This window comes from Homo sapiens, chromosome 8 (genome assembly GCF_000001405.40).
Source record: "Homo sapiens chromosome 8, GRCh38.p14 Primary Assembly".
NCBI classification, from domain to species: domain Eukaryota; kingdom Metazoa; phylum Chordata; class Mammalia; order Primates; family Hominidae; genus Homo; species Homo sapiens.
The window spans coordinates 89,940,424-89,957,952 of NC_000008.11; the positions used below are offsets into that span (position 1 = coordinate 89,940,424).

Sequence of the window (17,529 nt, forward strand, 5' to 3'; positions counted from 1 at the left end):
ATTCTGTTCTTATGGGCAAGACAAGAATGTTAGAAGTAATTTTGATTATACTGAATTTCTGTCTCACAAACTGGCTTCTGAATGTAATCCCTGCATGAGATGGCATATGATCCTTTATGTAGCAAACAGAATATCTGGAAAAGACATTTCCCTTTACTCAAGTGAAGGCAAAAAACAGAAAAGCTACTCCATCTACTAGAGGAAAAAAAAAAAAAGGGATATTGGAACAGAACATGCAAAAAACAGATAAAGAACCTAATCTGCAGGAAATAATAATCCACGAATAAAAAGTAAAATAGAAACATGAAAGCAATGAAATAATGACAAAAAATCAGATAATAGAACAATGAAATGAAAAAAGAACAAATGCTAAGTAAAAGAACCATAATAACAGCCTTTCAGAATTAAATTAGAAATAGCTAACACTTCCCACTGTTATAAATGATTTATATGTAGTATCTGATTTAATCCTCATATGTCTGTGAAATAAAGGTACTATTATTATTCTCATTCTGCACAGATGGAAGCAGAGACATTAAGTAATTTGCCTAAGGTCACATACTTGGTGAGAAACATTATAGACACACCTGAAATGTAAAATTTTGATACAGTGAAAGAGCCTAAGAAAACCACAGTGAATGCAGAAAAAATAGATGTGGACGACAAAGGTAATCCAATGAAAGGATAGTTATGTCTTAAATGTCTTATAGAGAGCCCAGCAAATATAAAATATTTAAAATATATAATAGAAAAAAGTTCCTTGAGAAAGAGAATTACACCTGCAAATCAAAACAGCATACTATATGTCAGGAAAAACTAATGGAGAATGATCAACACTGAGATGTATTCTGAGTGTTACTGGCTTTCGAGCTTAAGAAAGATGACTGGTCATGCATGCAAGTCACCTAAAAAGGGAAAAACAGGACTGGCATAAGGTAAGGGAGGCTAGGTGGGAGGAAGTACTAATAATGTCCTCACTTTTCACTGTAGCGAGCCAACAAATAATTGTATGTGAAGTTAATATGAAGTTTAAAACTACCCATTCCGACTTACAGTGATTTTTATAGTTTTCCTCCTTAATATTAGACAGATCTCACAAAATAAAATATCTTGGAGGGAAGAAACATTTATAGAAATTCAGCAATGCCTTCAGTTTAACTTCCTCCTATCAATGTCTCTCTCTTCCTTCCCAGTCTGTCCCTGCCTCTCACTACTCCTCAATGAAGAGATGTCTGGAATATTGTTCACTTAACTGTTTAAATAGGTAATTTCTGGGCTTTAGGTTTTCACATCTTCATTCTTTGTGTACTGCCATAATTCTGTGGAATGCACATGTTACAAAATAAGCCAATTATTCTTTCAAAAAAGAAAAGGAGAAAGGATGTGATTTCCATTCTTTCATTTTTTAAAAATAAGTATCCTGAGTGACCTTAACAACTCTACTTTCATAAGTGACTTTCCTAAATAACCCTTATTTTAAAATAACTGAGAAAAAAGCACTTTTAAAAGTGAATTACACTATACCCACTATAAAGCAAAATAAGGAACCCTGAGAGGTTAGCAAGGACCACAGTCAGCTTTTGCCTTGCCCTATGAGTATCTGCAAGTCATGAAAAACCTGAACTCTGCTTTAATGTCTATACGGGGTATGAGTGATACGAAAGAAAACCCAAGATGTTGACTTTAATAAAAGACCCAGCACTAAAAGAAGAAAGAGAAATAAACCTTACAACACAGAAGGAGCTAGGAAAGAAACTTGCCCATCTTCATTCTGGCACTTAGTGAAGGAAATAAATAAAAATCTCATTTGAAGTTTCTAATGATAAGCCAGCCTTCATTCACTCCAGCTTCTGGTCCAAATATTAATACATACTAACTGTCTGGGTGATTCAAAGAATCACAAGGAGAGATTTTAATTTGAAGTGGTCTCATATTGGTAGAAGACTCGAAGATAGAAAACGTATCTTTTCTAGAGGAAATACATCTGAACTTAATACTCAAGAAAACCCTACAGATCGAGTTACAAAGAAAACAATCAGCTCATATTCAAAAATCACAAAGCACAAACTTGAAAACAAGGTACATAAGAGCAGAAAACAGATCAAACATTTTAGGTAATGGTATCATTAGGCAAATAATATAAAAGGGGAAGCTTGAAAAACAGCAAGGAACAAGAAGATTTAGAAAGAAATAAAACAGACTTCCAGTAATGAAAAAATAAATGAACGGATGCAATGCCAACTAGAGTTGAAGACAGTAGTAGTAAATCGGAAGATGATCTGCAGCAGTTGCCAAAAATATAACCCAGGGAAACAAAGAAATGAAATACACAGGAAAGACAAATGGAAAAGAAAATTTAACTTACGTTAAGTTGGAATTCCAGAAGGAGATAATGGGGAAAACAGTAAAAAGGTAACTAATATTCAAGAGAATGAATAAGAAATTTTCAGAATTGTTAAAACACAATCCCCAGATTTAAAAAGGCCAGTCCCTTGACATACATTTAAGTGATATATTTGTAATATCCTCCACATTCTTTTAGTTTCCCTTAAATTTTTGTGGCTTTTATCTCCCCCTTTTCATTAGGATGTAAACTGAATTTCTTAGGTCTCACCTTTTTTTTTTTTTTTAACAAAAATAAATTTAGTATTCTTTTAAAGAAGTGTTATGGAAGGGTATAGATTAATGCTCTGTAACTCAGGAATGCTCCTGAATGAATGACTTTATGTCACTTATTTTAATTTGGTTTTAAGAAGAATTTGCTTGAAGGCCACCATAATGGACCAAAGTGCAATTTAAGCAAGTTTCTGGGCCTCACTTCCTACTAACCTCCATTTCCTGCCTTAGCCACTCTTCTAGTTCTGTATTCTTTCGAGCATGATGAGCTATTAGATCTGATCCTCCAATGATGTGTGGAAGTTTTCCTGCTCCAGGATATGTGACCTATTGAATAATAAAAGTAGTACAGTAAATCATATTAACAAACAAAAATGACCATTTTTTTAAAAAGATTAAAAAGCAAAGATGGTAAATCATGCATAAGTGCCAAAGATGTTTATATTCTACAAATAAAAGTGAGAGCAGTAACTCTGTTCTAAACCCATCTGTTTTTGCCCTTCTTTTATAGCTATTACTATATACAGATCTGGACATGTCATGGGATTTATGTATTAAAAATAATTTAACACTTTTCATTTGGAGTTTTTATTTTAAAATGGCCTTACCTTATCATTTAACAATTAAAGCAACTCAAGATGAACACAAACACTACAATTCAAAGCACTGTATTTTGTTCTAATGACTTCAAAGCTTAAGCCCTTTCTAATATTGATGAAAATTTAAATCTTTTTCAAAACTTTCCAGTTCACAGAGTCCAAGCAGGAGATGTTGGGGATGCCAACAATTTATACTTCTAATTGATATTTTAATTGTTTACTAGTAAAGAGGTGCTTTAAGAAAAGAAAATTCCATGTGAAAATGCCCATCAAGATCATTGTTAATACTTGTTATTAGTTAATAACATTGTTAATAGTAACAGTTCCTTAATATTTGTAACATGCTTTTAAAATTCCAATATATGAAGTAGAAAGAGAATTTTAAATTTATTTTCACCCCTAAGCAGTATTTTAAAAGTTTAAAAAACGCTATGTCATTGATTTGGAGGGTTTTTTGTTTGTTTTGAGACAGGGTCTCACTCTGTCACCTAGGCTGGAGAGTGCAGTGTGAGGAGAGAGAAAATCACCTGGTGACCATGGAACAGGCCCCAGAGACAAAACTTCTTCTCTAAGCAATTTAGAAGGGGGCAAAGACCAACCGGTGACCATCAAACAGGCTAACTGGAGGCAAAACTCCTTATCTGGGTAATTTAGAAGTAATCAAACTTCCCTAGTATCTAAAGTCGGCTTCTGATTCCAGGCCTCTTTCAACTTTTATAAGTAACTAAAATTTTTATACATCTCTGGAATGCCATGGTGAAACTCATTTTACAATCCCAAGCTCCCACCTTAAGGTCCATAAATGCTCCTAAGGACAATCCGCCACAGTGTGCTCAGTCCTCTCGCTGAGGCACCCCTCTGCATTCTTCTGCAGTGTTCTTCCTTTCTAATAAACTTTCCTTTTCCAAATCTATACTGTTGTCGGTAAATTCTTTTCACCAACCCGCAAGTTGACCACTTCCTGGTGCTGGGGCTCTGATACCTGGCCCGGCACAGTGGTGTAATCTTGGCTCACTGCAACCTCCGCCTCCTGGGCTCAAATGATCCTTCAACTTCAGCCTCCTGAGTACCTGGGACTACAGGCAGACATCACCATGCCTAGCTAATTTTTATATATTTTTTTGTAGAGTTAGGGTTTCACCATATTGCCCAGGCTGGTCTCGAACTCCTGGGTTCAAGCCATCCACCTGCCTTGGCCTCCCAAAGTGCTGACATTACAGGTGTGAGCGACCAGGCCCAGCATGATTTGGAGATGTAAAGAACTCAGACAAATTCCTGCATTAATATCAATCCAGTTAAACATCTTCCTATAGAAATTTTGGATTGGATTTCTTCTGTAGTTTCAGAACAGATTACTTGGTTAAGGATAGCAGTATTTTTAAACATTTTAAGTATTTCCAAACCACTTTCCAGAGATTCATATTACTTCATACTTCTTCAGTTGTTAATAAACCACTCTGTGCCAGTAGTAAACATTACTGCTGTTTCTTTGTAAAACTATAAAAAAAGTCTTTTGAATTTTGATTTAATGAGATCTTATAACACAATATTAAACATGAAGTAACCATGCAGTAAGAATGCCTTTGTGCTATTCATGAGCCTCAGATATAGGGTGAGAAAAAGTGGTGTTAAACAAAAAGGTATAGTGGTGCCATTTAAGTGGAAGATATTTCCATCTTCTGCTCTAAGTAGAAGAGATTCTTCCCATCAAATGGAGTTCAGAACCCTTTAGGTACTATTACAGAAGGCAAAAAACTAATTTAACTGTGAAATGTTAATAGTAAATGCTCACAGTAGAGAGAAAAATCTCTACTACCTCACAGTCATGGCAAGATCATGTTATAGAGGAAAGCAGTTCTCCACAAAAATTACTTTTGAGTAATTACTATACTCTGATCAAATGGATAAGTAAAGGCTAGCAGTCAGAAGTAGGTCTGGAGCAAGAAGCAAATGTAAGACAACAAAAGAATACCTACTGGATAGAAGTCTTTTTTTAACCATTACTGATAAAATAAGTATCAGTTCCTTAATGAGCAGAAACTCAGGTCTGATGATCATACTCAGCATATATATTTATATTGTGTTTTATATGTAAATATAGACTATAGTTTGAATTACTGAATATGCTTAGTTATTTTAAATACATTTTAATCTTCATAAAGTCCTGAGCTAAAGAACCTCCTCAAGTAGTTGTAGACCAATATTAGACTAACAGAGAAGATCCTGTGATTATCAACAAAAACTTCCTGCTTAAGGTAGAGAAAACCAGGTAAACAGCAACCTCTAAAGAATTCAATCTTGATGAAATCTATTTCATTCTAGGTGTTCAATATATTCATTAACTGTAAGTTCATATCCTTCCTAGAGGAATTTTTTAAAGCATTTTAAGCAGAAGAAGTATCAGTTTTCAACATAAACTGCTTTTATCTTTGTTTAGCATCACTGGTATCTCTAAAAACATTTCAAACACTGACCTCTTGTGATACAGTTGAAATACCTACCTTTTTGAATTTCTTGAAATTTTTTAGTTGACCATAATCATCATTTATGCCAGATGGATTTCTGGAAGTAGAGTTTTTAATCACCAGTGATCTAAATTCAGTCAATAACAGCTTTTTTGGAAGCATCTCACTATCATCCTGAAGTTTGTCATTGTTCTTAAATGGGGTTAAGATGGATAGGTAAGAAAGAGAAGAAATAACAAAGAAAAGTCACTTGTCATTTGGGAATCTATAGAAAAAAGTTCAAATACCTGAAAAAATAGTAAAAATGTTTTATTTCTTGTACCTGAACTTTGTATTTGGAATCAAATTGTAGCTAATTCAAGATAAGAAAATTACTTACTCAAATGCTCTATAAACTTTGGAAACATTTATAACATACTCATCTGTGACAGAAGGCTAAAAACTGTGAAGCATTTTTAACCTAGTAGTTATTCTAATAAATATCATCTCAGTAAACAATTTACCTCCAGATATATATCTTATTGACACAAAATCTCAGCACTGTTTGCTTTTCATTAAAATTGTACACTGAGATTATAATATATCCTGTTCTACAGGTCCTCATCTACTTTTCTTAAACTTTTGGGATTCTCAAGAGTTTGTATCTTTTATTATTCTTAACACCTCAAAAAAGTCAATCATCAGTTCTGGACATACTATCTCATTAATTGACAAGCCATTTTTAATTCAAGATTAATAGCTGTTAAATTTGCCTCAAGAGTCCTTCCTGTTATCTTTCAATTGCTGGATGAGATTCTTGGCTTCGTGTCATTTACTATTAACTAGTCAGTTACACATCAACATTATTACAGCTGCTTAAGGTTGACATCTTAGTTCTTTTAACTGCTGTAACTACATAATTAATATGCAAGTTGCTAATAGGTCTAAGATAAAAGCAGTCAAAAAGAAAAAAAAAGGGGAAAGTCAGAAAAAAAGGTTCATCTGATAGTGACAGAATGTAATCAGCACATTATTAAGAACAGCCTAAACTTTTAGAGTTTACAAATATTTCCCATCCATTACTCTTATCTGATATAAATCCTGCTAGAAAAGCATCAACCTCATTTTATAGAGTATTTGAGGTTCTTAAATGTGAAAATGACTTGTTCAAGGCCACATACCTAAGGAGCAGAAGGCAGGGAATTACACCCTGGCTTCTCTCTATACTCTTTTCACTGCATCATGGTTATAATACGATCTATCCAGGCCGTGCATGGTGGCTCAAGCCTGTAATCCCAGCACTTTGTGAGGCCAAGGCGGGCAGATCACCTGAGGTCGGGAGTTCCAGACCAGCCTGACCAACATAGAGAAACCCCGTCTCTATTAAAAATTCAAAATTAGTCGGGCGTGGTGGCACATGCCTGTAGTCCTAGCTACTCGGGAGGCTGAGGGAGGAGAATAGCTTAAACCCAGGAGGCTGAGGTTGCGGTGAGCCGAGATCACACCATTGCATTCCAGCCTGGGCAACAAGAGCGAGATTCCGTCTCAAAATAAATAAATAAACAAATAAATAAAATAATAATAATAATAATACCATGATCAATCCATTTCAAGGCACAATCATGAAGTAAGCCATAATTAGGAAAGAGAAATAATCCTAAGAATGTAAAATCACAAAAATTGATGAGATGACAGTCCCCGTAAGCCAAATCTGTATAAAAATTAATAAAACGTTTCTCACAGATATTTCTTTAGCTGACCATAGTGAGTCTTCCTTGAGTTCACGTTTCTTCCCAATTTCATTTTCTTGCTAAAGAAATAAAATAAAAAATACTGTTCATAGGAGTAATAAAATGGTATGTTTCTATCACTTCTTGGCCTTTTGAATAAGATGAAGTGTAAAATGGTTCCTTTCTAAAAACTTAAGAGATATTCATGTTATGTATGACCAGGCATTTGGCTTTCAACTGTCTTTCCAAAAGAAATTATGAGATGAAAATATATATTGAAAGAGATACTGCAGTATCAGGACAAAGAATTGGAAGCGATCTAAATCCATATAAATCACATGCTTAGAGAATATTTAACAATATGGGAAAATGATTATAAGTAAATTTAAAAAATGACTACAAAATTGCACTAACAGTCTGCAAAATAAAATGGAAAGAGAAAATACCAAAATATTAACCATGGTTGTCTGTAGATGGTAGGATTATCAACAAACTGTCTGTTTTATTTTCTACATGTCTGTACGATCGTGTATTACTTTTAAAATCAAAAAAGAAACATTTTAAAAGAATTCAAGTTTACAATAGTATCTTAAATCATACTTAAAGAAGAAACAGTTACTTCAACTGTTCAAGATATTTGTCTGCAATAAAAATGAAGACTGCCTTGTATATTAGTCACAGTATCTTTCACATTAACATGTCTGGATCATGTCCTAGACGGAACAATATTACATAAATGGGTAATGATTTCAGTAAAAACTACAATTCTCTTGGATGCAAAGTGGGGCACATAACATTTTACGTCACATTTTCAGTAATACAGCAGTAAGTCTTAAAAGTTTTAAAAATGAAGTTGGAAACGGCAGAAAAACAAATGTACTTTGTGCTTCCCCACAGAGTAAAGAGGATATTTTAATCAATAGAATTAAATGTATGTTTCAAGCCTATCAAGTGCCATTTTACTTAGGCACATATCATTTACAGAAAGTTGTTATCACAATCAGAACATTTTACTCCCTTTATACATAATCAGAATACAAACTCCTTTTATGTACCTTCTCCCCATCCTGCCCTACTCTCTCAAAGTTGCTCTTCCTCTTGAGCAAGTTTTGATTTTCCAACTCAGAGAATCATACGACCTACCTAGATACTCAGAATATAAGCTTGGAAATTATCTTATATTCTTTCCTATCTATTTATTTCCCATATAAGTAAACCACCAAGTCTTGGGGATTCTACCTCAATGCCTATCAAACTTCTCTTCTCAAACTGCCTTTCATGGCAGATGCCCAATGCCTACAGTAATGGAATAACTGAGTGAATTACACAGTGAAAGCTAACAAAAGGATCAGTCAGAAGAGCATGGCAGACCTGTGTTTAAGTCCGAGTTGTCAAACCTAGCTATGTGACCTTGGCAAGTTACTTAAAAACTCCCACTATCAGTTTCCACACATGTTCAATAGGATATTAATTGCTGCATTGTAGGGTTGCTGTAAATATAATAAAAGTATCCAATAAGTGGTAGCTATTACTACAGGGTACTGGAAAATGCTGTAGTTTTAAGAATTTACTACTGGGTATTGAAAAAATGCTATATAAAAATGCTTGACTTGAGAAAGGAGAGTACAATGAAGTGAAGAGGAAATATACTATAGACACAGTGGGTGCTGTTAAGGAGAAGAATGTTAAGGATCTTGAGTCAGTTTTGCATTTTATAGAGACTGGGAAACTGAAAGTAAGGCCAAGACTCAGGCACAGCTATCATTCGTATAAGGATAAAGTCCTAGGAGGAATATTAAGCTAATAGTTTTCCATTTCAGCTGACAGGAAATCTTACAGACATGCTATAATCTAAATTTAGATCCAAAAACAGAGAAATGACAGTTCTACCATCAACATCTATTGGAAAGTGCCTTTCTGAAATATAGCTAGGGATTCCAACACCAAAGAGAAGTATCACATTTTTTGCCTTCAAAAAATCGCCAAAAAAATGTTTAAATGAAAGGATTAAGAAGTATTTTTCTCTGACAGTCACTTCTGTAGCTAAAAAAATTAAGCACCAATTCCTTTAATCCATGAGATTAACATGGACTTTCAGACAAATTCTTAAAATAACAAAAATAAAATAATTTAAAACAACCCCACATTGAGTAAGGTTGATGGATTTTATCAATGTCAATTTCCTGGTTGTGATACTGTACTGTAGTTATGCAAGCTGTAACAATCAGGGGAAATTAGATAAAGGGTTCGCTGCATGTGGACAAACAATTGTCTCAAACAGTTTTTAAAAGTAACCTTACATTGAAAACAGAAATACTTTTGTAGCTATTACAGATTCTTACTAAAAATATTATAGTGCTGGAATACAGTGATTTAACTTGTAGTAGTCATCCCTGTGGTATCCCTGAGGAACTGGTTCCATGACTTCCCATGGACACCAAAATCCATGGATGCTCAAGTCCCTGATAAAAAAAAGCATAAATTTTGCATATAACCTAGGCACATCCTCTCATATACTTTAAATCATCTCTAGAATACTTACAATACCTAATACAATGTAAGTGCTACGTAAGTAGTTGTTATATTGCATTGTTTAGGAAATAATAATTTTTAAAAAGTTTGTACATGTACAGACGCATTTTTTTTTTCCCAAATACTTTCAATCACAGGTTGGTAAAATCAGAGGATGTGGGACCCATGGATACAGAGGGCCAACTGTATCTCAATGAGAGATACCGCAATTAAATTGCTATTCTTTCTCCAAAAGCCTACAACAACATATTTTGTACTGTAATTTTCATTTAGAATGTCATGAATTCTCAAACAGTAAAATAAAGGAAAAATGGAATTATGCTATAGAATCATAGGGCAAAATAAAATAATTATATTTCCTCATATCGTTATACCTCATATAAACCTTACATATTAAATGAAAGTTTCTTTCGGTCTATGAAAGACTGTTTGATGGCTCCCATGTCAAGGGTGTATAGTGCTCAGTTCTTGTCTTTCCCTGTCTGTGCTCTAATGCCCAGTGCCCTGAGTGACATAAGCCCTGGGAGAATGTGCAGTGAAAGTAGGTCTTCAGGAAGATTAATTAGCAGTCATCCAGGATGAGCCAAGGAGGGCTGTTACAGACTAAAACCACAACCATTTCCAGATAGATTTGTGGCCACCATAGCAGTAGACTAATCTGGGATGGAATTTAAGGGAAAAAAAGTGGGGTGGGGGTAGCTACTTAAAAAAAATTAAAGTCACTTTGGGAGGCCGAAGTGGGTGGATCACGAGGTCAGGAGATTGAGATCATCCTGGCTAACACAGCGAAACCCCATCTCTACTATAAGTACAAAAAATTAGCCAGGCGTGGTGGCGGGCGCCTGTAGTCCCAGCTACTAGGGATGCTGAGGCAGGAGAATGGCGTGAACCCGGGAGGCGGAGCTTGCAGTGAGCGGAGATCACGCCACTGAACTCCAGCCTGGGTGACAGAGCAAGACTCTGTCTCAAAAAAAAAAAAAAAAAAAAGATTAAAGCATGTACTAGGACAAGAAGACTAAAGAAAATAACATGTCAGAGAAAATCAGAGGAGAAGAGAGCACAGCAAGGGAAATGTATTTCCAAAGGTGTGGCCAAAGTAATGTAAAAAGTGCCTAACTTTCTAAACACTTACATGTAATATTAAGTAACCTGAATACAGATTCTGAAAAGTCTGGAACTAAAGTAACAATGTAAATCCATAATACCAACAGAATAAAGATAGCTTTATAAACATATGTAAATGTATTAAACTTAGCAAATGATGTCTTGGATTTCAACAAATGTCACATTAAACTAATTTACCTAGCTCTCCACCATAGTAGGAATTGCGACAGAAGTGACTTATAGAACATACAAATCTCTTGTTTCACTTAGTGCATCTGTGAAATGAGAGTAGTCTTAAATCCTTCACAATAAAAAAAAAACCTCTGTCTCTGAACTTCTCACTCTGGCTGCAAAATGGAATCCGATAATTCAACATTCATTCTCTCTTTTTTCCTTAAATGCAACTCTTTATCAGGGACAGCAATGTGCCAAGTTTAAAACATTTCCAGACTCTTCTAGATTGAGGATAGAGAGTGGCTAAATTATTTCCAATTCTGGCCAATAACAAAAGCTATTAAGTTGGGTTTCTGAGAAAGCTCCTTAGAAAACAGGGAGGAATTCAGCTGGAAAGGCCTTTACCTGTCCCCTCATCATCACATTCTCCCTCCCTGGAAAGTAGACTTGATGGCTGGAGGTATCCTCTCAAAGAGCAGAAAGACAGACACCTAGTAAATTAATACCATGGGAAGCAGCTCTGATTATCTACTTCCAGGACACTTTTATAGGGGAAAAAAGATCCTATTTTACGGAAGCCACTGATTTTAGAATTTTTAAAAATATCAAAGGAATTCTTAGCTAACCCAATGAGGGAACTTATCCTGGGAAGGAAAATCAGATATACTGAATGAAAATCTCTGGGGCTCTGGCCTGGGAATCTATATTTTAGAAAAGCTTACCAGCTGACTCCAATGCAGCTGGTCCACAGAAGGGCATTTAGGATCACTCAGAAGAAGTAACAAATAATGGGGATTCCCTTGCCTATATGAAGATAACAATACACAGGCCAAATAGGACATAGGTTCTGTTTTTTGAATAGTAGTTGTAGATTTATAAGGTCCTTGATACACACTAGGTTCTCAACTGCTTAGCTAATAAACTATAACTTCCGTTCACTTAATCCTATCCTTTCGCCTATTCCTGTCCTTATTCTGCAGGTGTTACTGGAGAGGATGACCACAGCCATGAATGAGTGGAGCTAATGAATCCACATTGGAGATCAGAATATTAAAGTTTTACTTCATCAGGTCTGTGCTCTCATCTAAAGAGCTAACAAATCTACAGATAAGTCAACTTACTGATGTATACAAAAAAGAAAATAATCTCAGGTGTTTTCATAGATCAAAGTGGGTAAGACAAATTATCAACAGTCATGAAAATAGACAAGGACATTACAAAACCTAAATGAAAATGAAAATTCCTAGTGATGTTATATCCTAAAAATTTATTGAGTAGATACTTTGTTTTACTAACTTCATCTTTCTGTGCCTGTTTCTTATACTGAAGCATCTCCTACACTTATCATCATAGCCAAATGTCTTTTATAATAGTACAGCCTAATTTGGAAATCTAGTAAAACAATCTCATATGAAAGTTTAATTTGTGGTCATTTATTTTACACTACTGAAGAATCACTGTACTTTTAACATTTACCATTTACCTTATCAACCAACAAATTTCTATAGTACTGAGTGTTAAAGACATTAATGGATGCTCATACTGTCAATACAAAATCGAAAGTACCTGTTAGCATTCTAAGCTTCTATGTACTATACCTCTCATTTAAAATGTTACTTACAGATATTTTGCTACTTTCTGGTACTGCTTCATCACTGAAAGTGTCATTTGTTTCTATATCCATCCTTGGCCTTTTTCTAACATTGACATCTTCCTCCTGTTTTTGAACTTTCACATCAATTTCTAACTCTGGTTTTGTGTCCTTGAATAACTGTTCCAATACTTCATCTTCTATGGCCACATCATCCATTTCCCTTTTTTTATTTGATCTTAGCTTTTCTGCAGCATGAGATTTACTGGCAGAATTTTTCACAATAGATTTTAAATCTGTATCTGTAAATAAGTTATTGTCTGAGTTTGTGTCCACAGGCTCATTCTCAGATAGATGCTGCTCCTTATTTTTCCACAATGAGGGTGTAGCAGGTTGTGTTTGTTCTAAAAGAGAACAAGACGTTTCTATTCTTGCTGATTTGCATGAAGACATTTCTTGATTTTCTTCATCCCTTTCCCTTAGATTTAAAAAAAAAGAAGAAAACAAAACAAGAAAATGAACACAGCTAAGTAACCATTTAGTTTGGCAATATTCATCACTCCCTCCATTTAGTTCACAATGTACTCTTGATTTTATTAACAATATTACTGGAAATCAACAAATAGACCTTTGAAAACAGTGCAGAACTCACATACATTCTGCTGTTTTGATAGAACTGACGGACCCTGTGGCTAAAGCAGTACGGTGATCTCTATCTTCTCTGCTTAAGTTGCATTAGTTGATAAATTACAGGAAAAGGTAGAAAAATATAAAAATACAAAGAAACTGTTGCCAAGAGACAGCAACTTACTTTATAACGTAGTAAGGTTGTGGGCAGGGAAAACTGCCCTGGGAATACAATCTGATGGGTTAATGAGAGATGGATTCAAGACAGTAAGTCAGAGTGACTAAATCTACAATACGGTACTGACTGTATACTGCAAATGCTATGTGAATATATCACTAAAAGTTTCCTATACAATACTGTATCATTCATTCAATAAATACCAAACACTTTATGCAAACTGTACTAAGCCCATAGAGGACACAAAGACCTGGGACTCTGTTCTCCAGGAGTTTATTGGATTCATGTTGAACAAGAACAGTCAACCCAATGTTCTATTAACACTAATTTAATGCCAAGGTACTGGACAAACCAACCAATCGAGAGGTTTTTGTAATAATTTAGGTGGTCAGAGTTTGAACCTGGCAATAGATGGAAATGGAGGGATTGACAGACACTGAAAATAACAATCAATAACACTGATTTCAGGAGCCAGAGGACAAGAGTCAAAAATTGTAACAACATAAGCTATTTTACTAAAAAAAAAAAACAAAACCACATTTGGTGAGAGGACAGAAAAAGTTTTTAGGTCTATTACTGGGGAAACAGCATGAAACCCCTGTGGAAAAGAAGTAAAGTTTAAAGGAAAAGTTAGGGCCACATATGTTGATTGTCAGTAATAAAGTCTCAAAACCTGAAGGTAGAGTATAAAGAGCAGTACGGGGAAGAAAAGAAGTCCTCCAAAGTTCATACAGAAATGGGAGAAATAACATCATCTTTTCTGAGAAGCTTAACGGGACGGCACAAGAAAAAAGGCAGCAGTAGCTAGAGGAAGAAACCAGGTCAAGAGAAGGTTTTCAAAAATAAAGGTGAGATTGAACTTTTGAAAACAGAAGAAAAAAATCTGGGATGATCAATATATTCAAAATATGGAAATTGAGAAAATAATTGATGGAATATGGTCCTAGAGGGAGTGAGAGCGGTTCTCAAGGAAAACCAGCAGAAATGTGATTTTAGAGCTGAGACAGGGGGTTAGTTCTTATTGAAGAGAATTGCGGCAAGTAAAATAACACGTAAGTACATACATAGAAGGAGATGAAGGAGAAACTGTCTAGTGGCTCTAGTGAAGGAGATCAGGGACATTTCTGAGAGGGAAAGCGGTCAAAAAGCTGCAGCAGCAGAAGCATACTTAATCAGAACAGACTAAAGACAATACCATTCTACAACAGTATAAAAAACTTTCATTTTTTTTTCAGAGACATGAGAGAAGTTATCAAAAACAGACCTTTTTTTGGTAGACGGCTGAAAGTAGTTTCTGATGGAGTTGGTCTGCTGCTGCTGAGAAGCCCTATCTTTACTTTTATTTATACTTGGCAATTTAGTTGGTGAAAGCTGATAGTTTGGGATTCTCATCTTAGCCAAAGTATTTGATACCATACTATTATTATTAGAGCTTGTTTTGCAGGACTCCTTTACAGTGGGTGCATCTTGTGAAAGCATTCTGAATTTTTGTTCCATTTTGGAGACTTTGATTTCTTTTGGCCTTTCACTCAAATCCCTGTAGAAAAAGAAAAGAATGCAAGGTAAATAATCAAGTTTACAGCAACTTTAATAGAGAAACAAAGATCGTTAAATAGTTCTAACGTAATATAACCTTAGAAGATAATTTTTAGACAAAAATACACTGAATATATTTTACCATCCCAAGAAAGCAACTCCTTTATTACCTAAGCATCCTGTGGAAGGATGATACCTTACTCTTCTTCACCCCCTACAGCACATATTGTTGCTCCACTATAGACGACTGACAAACACACACAGAATACCAACTTAGCATAGCCTATTATAAGTTAAACTAGGTGATAATCCTAGGCAATTTCTGTTTTGTTTAAAAATTTTAAATTATTCCCACGTAAAATCACTATTATGGTACTTTCATTATTATTTATTATTATATTATTATAGTACCTTTTTATTAAAAATGGAAAATCAGAATAAAATCACATATAAGATATTCAGGTCACTGTAAATGAACTGATATCATTATTTCAGCCAGATGGCAGACTCGAGAATAGAACAGAACTTTAGATTACCAGAAAAATATTTTCAACATACATGCACAGAGTATACTTTTATATACTTTTTACTTTTACAAAGTATGGTTAAATTAGACACTGCCTTTGCTATTCTTATTTTACAGAAAAAAAAAAAACAAAAACAAGAGGTCAGGCTGTCATTCAAGCAACTTCCAAAACCTTAACAATTTCTCTTGAAAAAGTTAAATCTGGCCTCAATATGAGTGTAGCAAAAATTAAAATAAATAAGGTTTAATACAGTGATATCTTAAGTATCTTAATATGAACACTTCATTATGTCATATTTAAAATAAAAAACATACGGTTGTAAATAGAAAATAACAAATAATATAAAAGTGCTAACCCCTTCCATTAAAAACAAAACAAAACAAAATCCCTCTTCAGATAAAGAACCATAGAAAAACTATCTTTATGGACAACTATTAACTATTTAAATAGCTAGGTAGACACATATAAAGTATCTTCAAAATTACAAGTAACATTCAAATATAGGCAACATCACGCAATACAAATATATGTATTTCAAACTTATCTCACCAGTTACAAATAAGTTGAACAATTCTTTCCAGTCATCCATGTACATTTGCAAGGAATAAAAAAACTATCCTAAGACAGGAGTTGCCAAACTACAGCCTGTAGGCCAAATCTGATCTGCCACTTATTTTTATAAACACAGTTATTAGAACACAACACTTTCAATTACAGTCACAGACACTATATAATGATATTTCTGTCAACAATGGACTGCAACATATGATGCTGGTCCCATAAGATTATAAAGGAGCTGAAAAATTGCTATCACCTATTGACAGCACAGTGCAACCTATTAAGTGTCTATGGTGATGTTGATGTAAACAAACCTATGCTGCCAATTGTATAAAAGTATAGCACAACAGCACATACAATTCGGTACAATACATAATACTTGATAATGATAATAAATGACTATGTTACTGGTTAATGTATTTACTATATTATACTTTTTATCATTAGAATGTACTCCTTCTTATAAAAAAAATAACTTTAAAACAGTCTCAGGCAGTCCCTTCAGGAGGGATTCCAGAAGATGACATTATTATCATAGGAGATGACAGCTCCATGTGTGTTAGTGCCCCAGAAGACTTTCCAGTGGGACAGGATGTGGCAATGACTGCGATGATCCTAACTCTGTGCAGGCCTAGGCTAACATGTATGTTTATGTCTTTGTTTTTAACAAAAGTTTAAAAAGTAAAACAAAATTTAAAAATTTGAAAACAGAAAACCTTATCGAATAATATGAAGAAAATATTTTTGCACAGCTATACAATGTTTTAAATGTTTTAAGCTAGGTATTATTAAAGTTTACAGAGTACAAAAGTTACAGTAAGCTAAGGTTAATTTATTATTGAAGATTTTTTTGCATATAAATTTAGTGTAGTCTAAATGTAGTGCTAATAAGGCAACAATCATGTACAGTAATGTCCTAGGCTTTCACATTCACTTACCACTCACTCATTGACTTACCCAGAACAGCTTCCAGTCCTACAAGCTCCATTCACGGTAAGTGTCTTATACAGGTATACCATTTTTTATCTTTTATACAATATTTTTTCTGTACCTTTTCTATGTTTAGATACACAAATACTTCCCATTGTGTTACAATTGCCTACAGTATCAGTACAGTAACATGCCATATAAGTGTGTAGCCTAGGAGAAATAGTCTATACCAGCAGTTCCCATCCTTTTTGGCAACCAGGACCAGCTTCGTGGTGAGGTTCCAGGTTTGCGGGCAGAGGGGGGAATGGTTTTGGATAATTCAAGCATATTTATTATGTACTTTATTTCTATTATTATTACGTTGTAATATATAATGAAAAAAT

The 17,529-nt window shown here is 34.4% G+C and overlaps 1 protein-coding gene across 6 annotated transcripts in view, besides 1 other annotated feature; it reads right to left on the bottom strand.

Moving 5' to 3' along the window:
- NBN (nibrin) overlaps positions 1–17,529 on the bottom strand; it is a 51,337-nt gene that overhangs the window by 7,093 nt on the left and 26,715 nt on the right. For 5 of the 6 annotated variants that reach the window (NM_002485.5, NM_001024688.3, NM_001440379.1 and 2 more), the window contains 5 exons: positions 14,860–15,132; positions 12,821–13,268; positions 7,401–7,469; positions 5,717–5,872; positions 2,830–2,943 (listed from right to left, as the gene is read on the bottom strand). In NM_002485.5, coding sequence (NP_002476.2) covers positions 2,830–2,943; positions 5,717–5,872; positions 7,401–7,469; positions 12,821–13,268; positions 14,860–15,132 — 1,060 coding nt within the window. Of the gene's footprint in view, positions 1–2,829; positions 2,944–5,716; positions 5,873–7,400; positions 7,470–12,820; positions 13,272–14,859; positions 15,133–17,529 lie in introns of those variants that run through there. The other variant, XM_011517046.2, reaches the window with a different exon arrangement.
- Positions 7,331–8,530: an enhancer, noted in NCBI's record as "MED14-independent group 3 enhancer chr8:90959982-90961181 (GRCh37/hg19 assembly coordinates)". NCBI's record gives its function as "activates an origin of replication core promoter dependent on BRD2, BRD4, P300/CBP and CDK7 cofactors, and independent of MED14, by STARR-seq in HCT116 cells {active_cell/tissue: HCT116}" and the evidence as "EXISTENCE:reporter gene assay evidence [ECO:0000049][PMID:35650434]".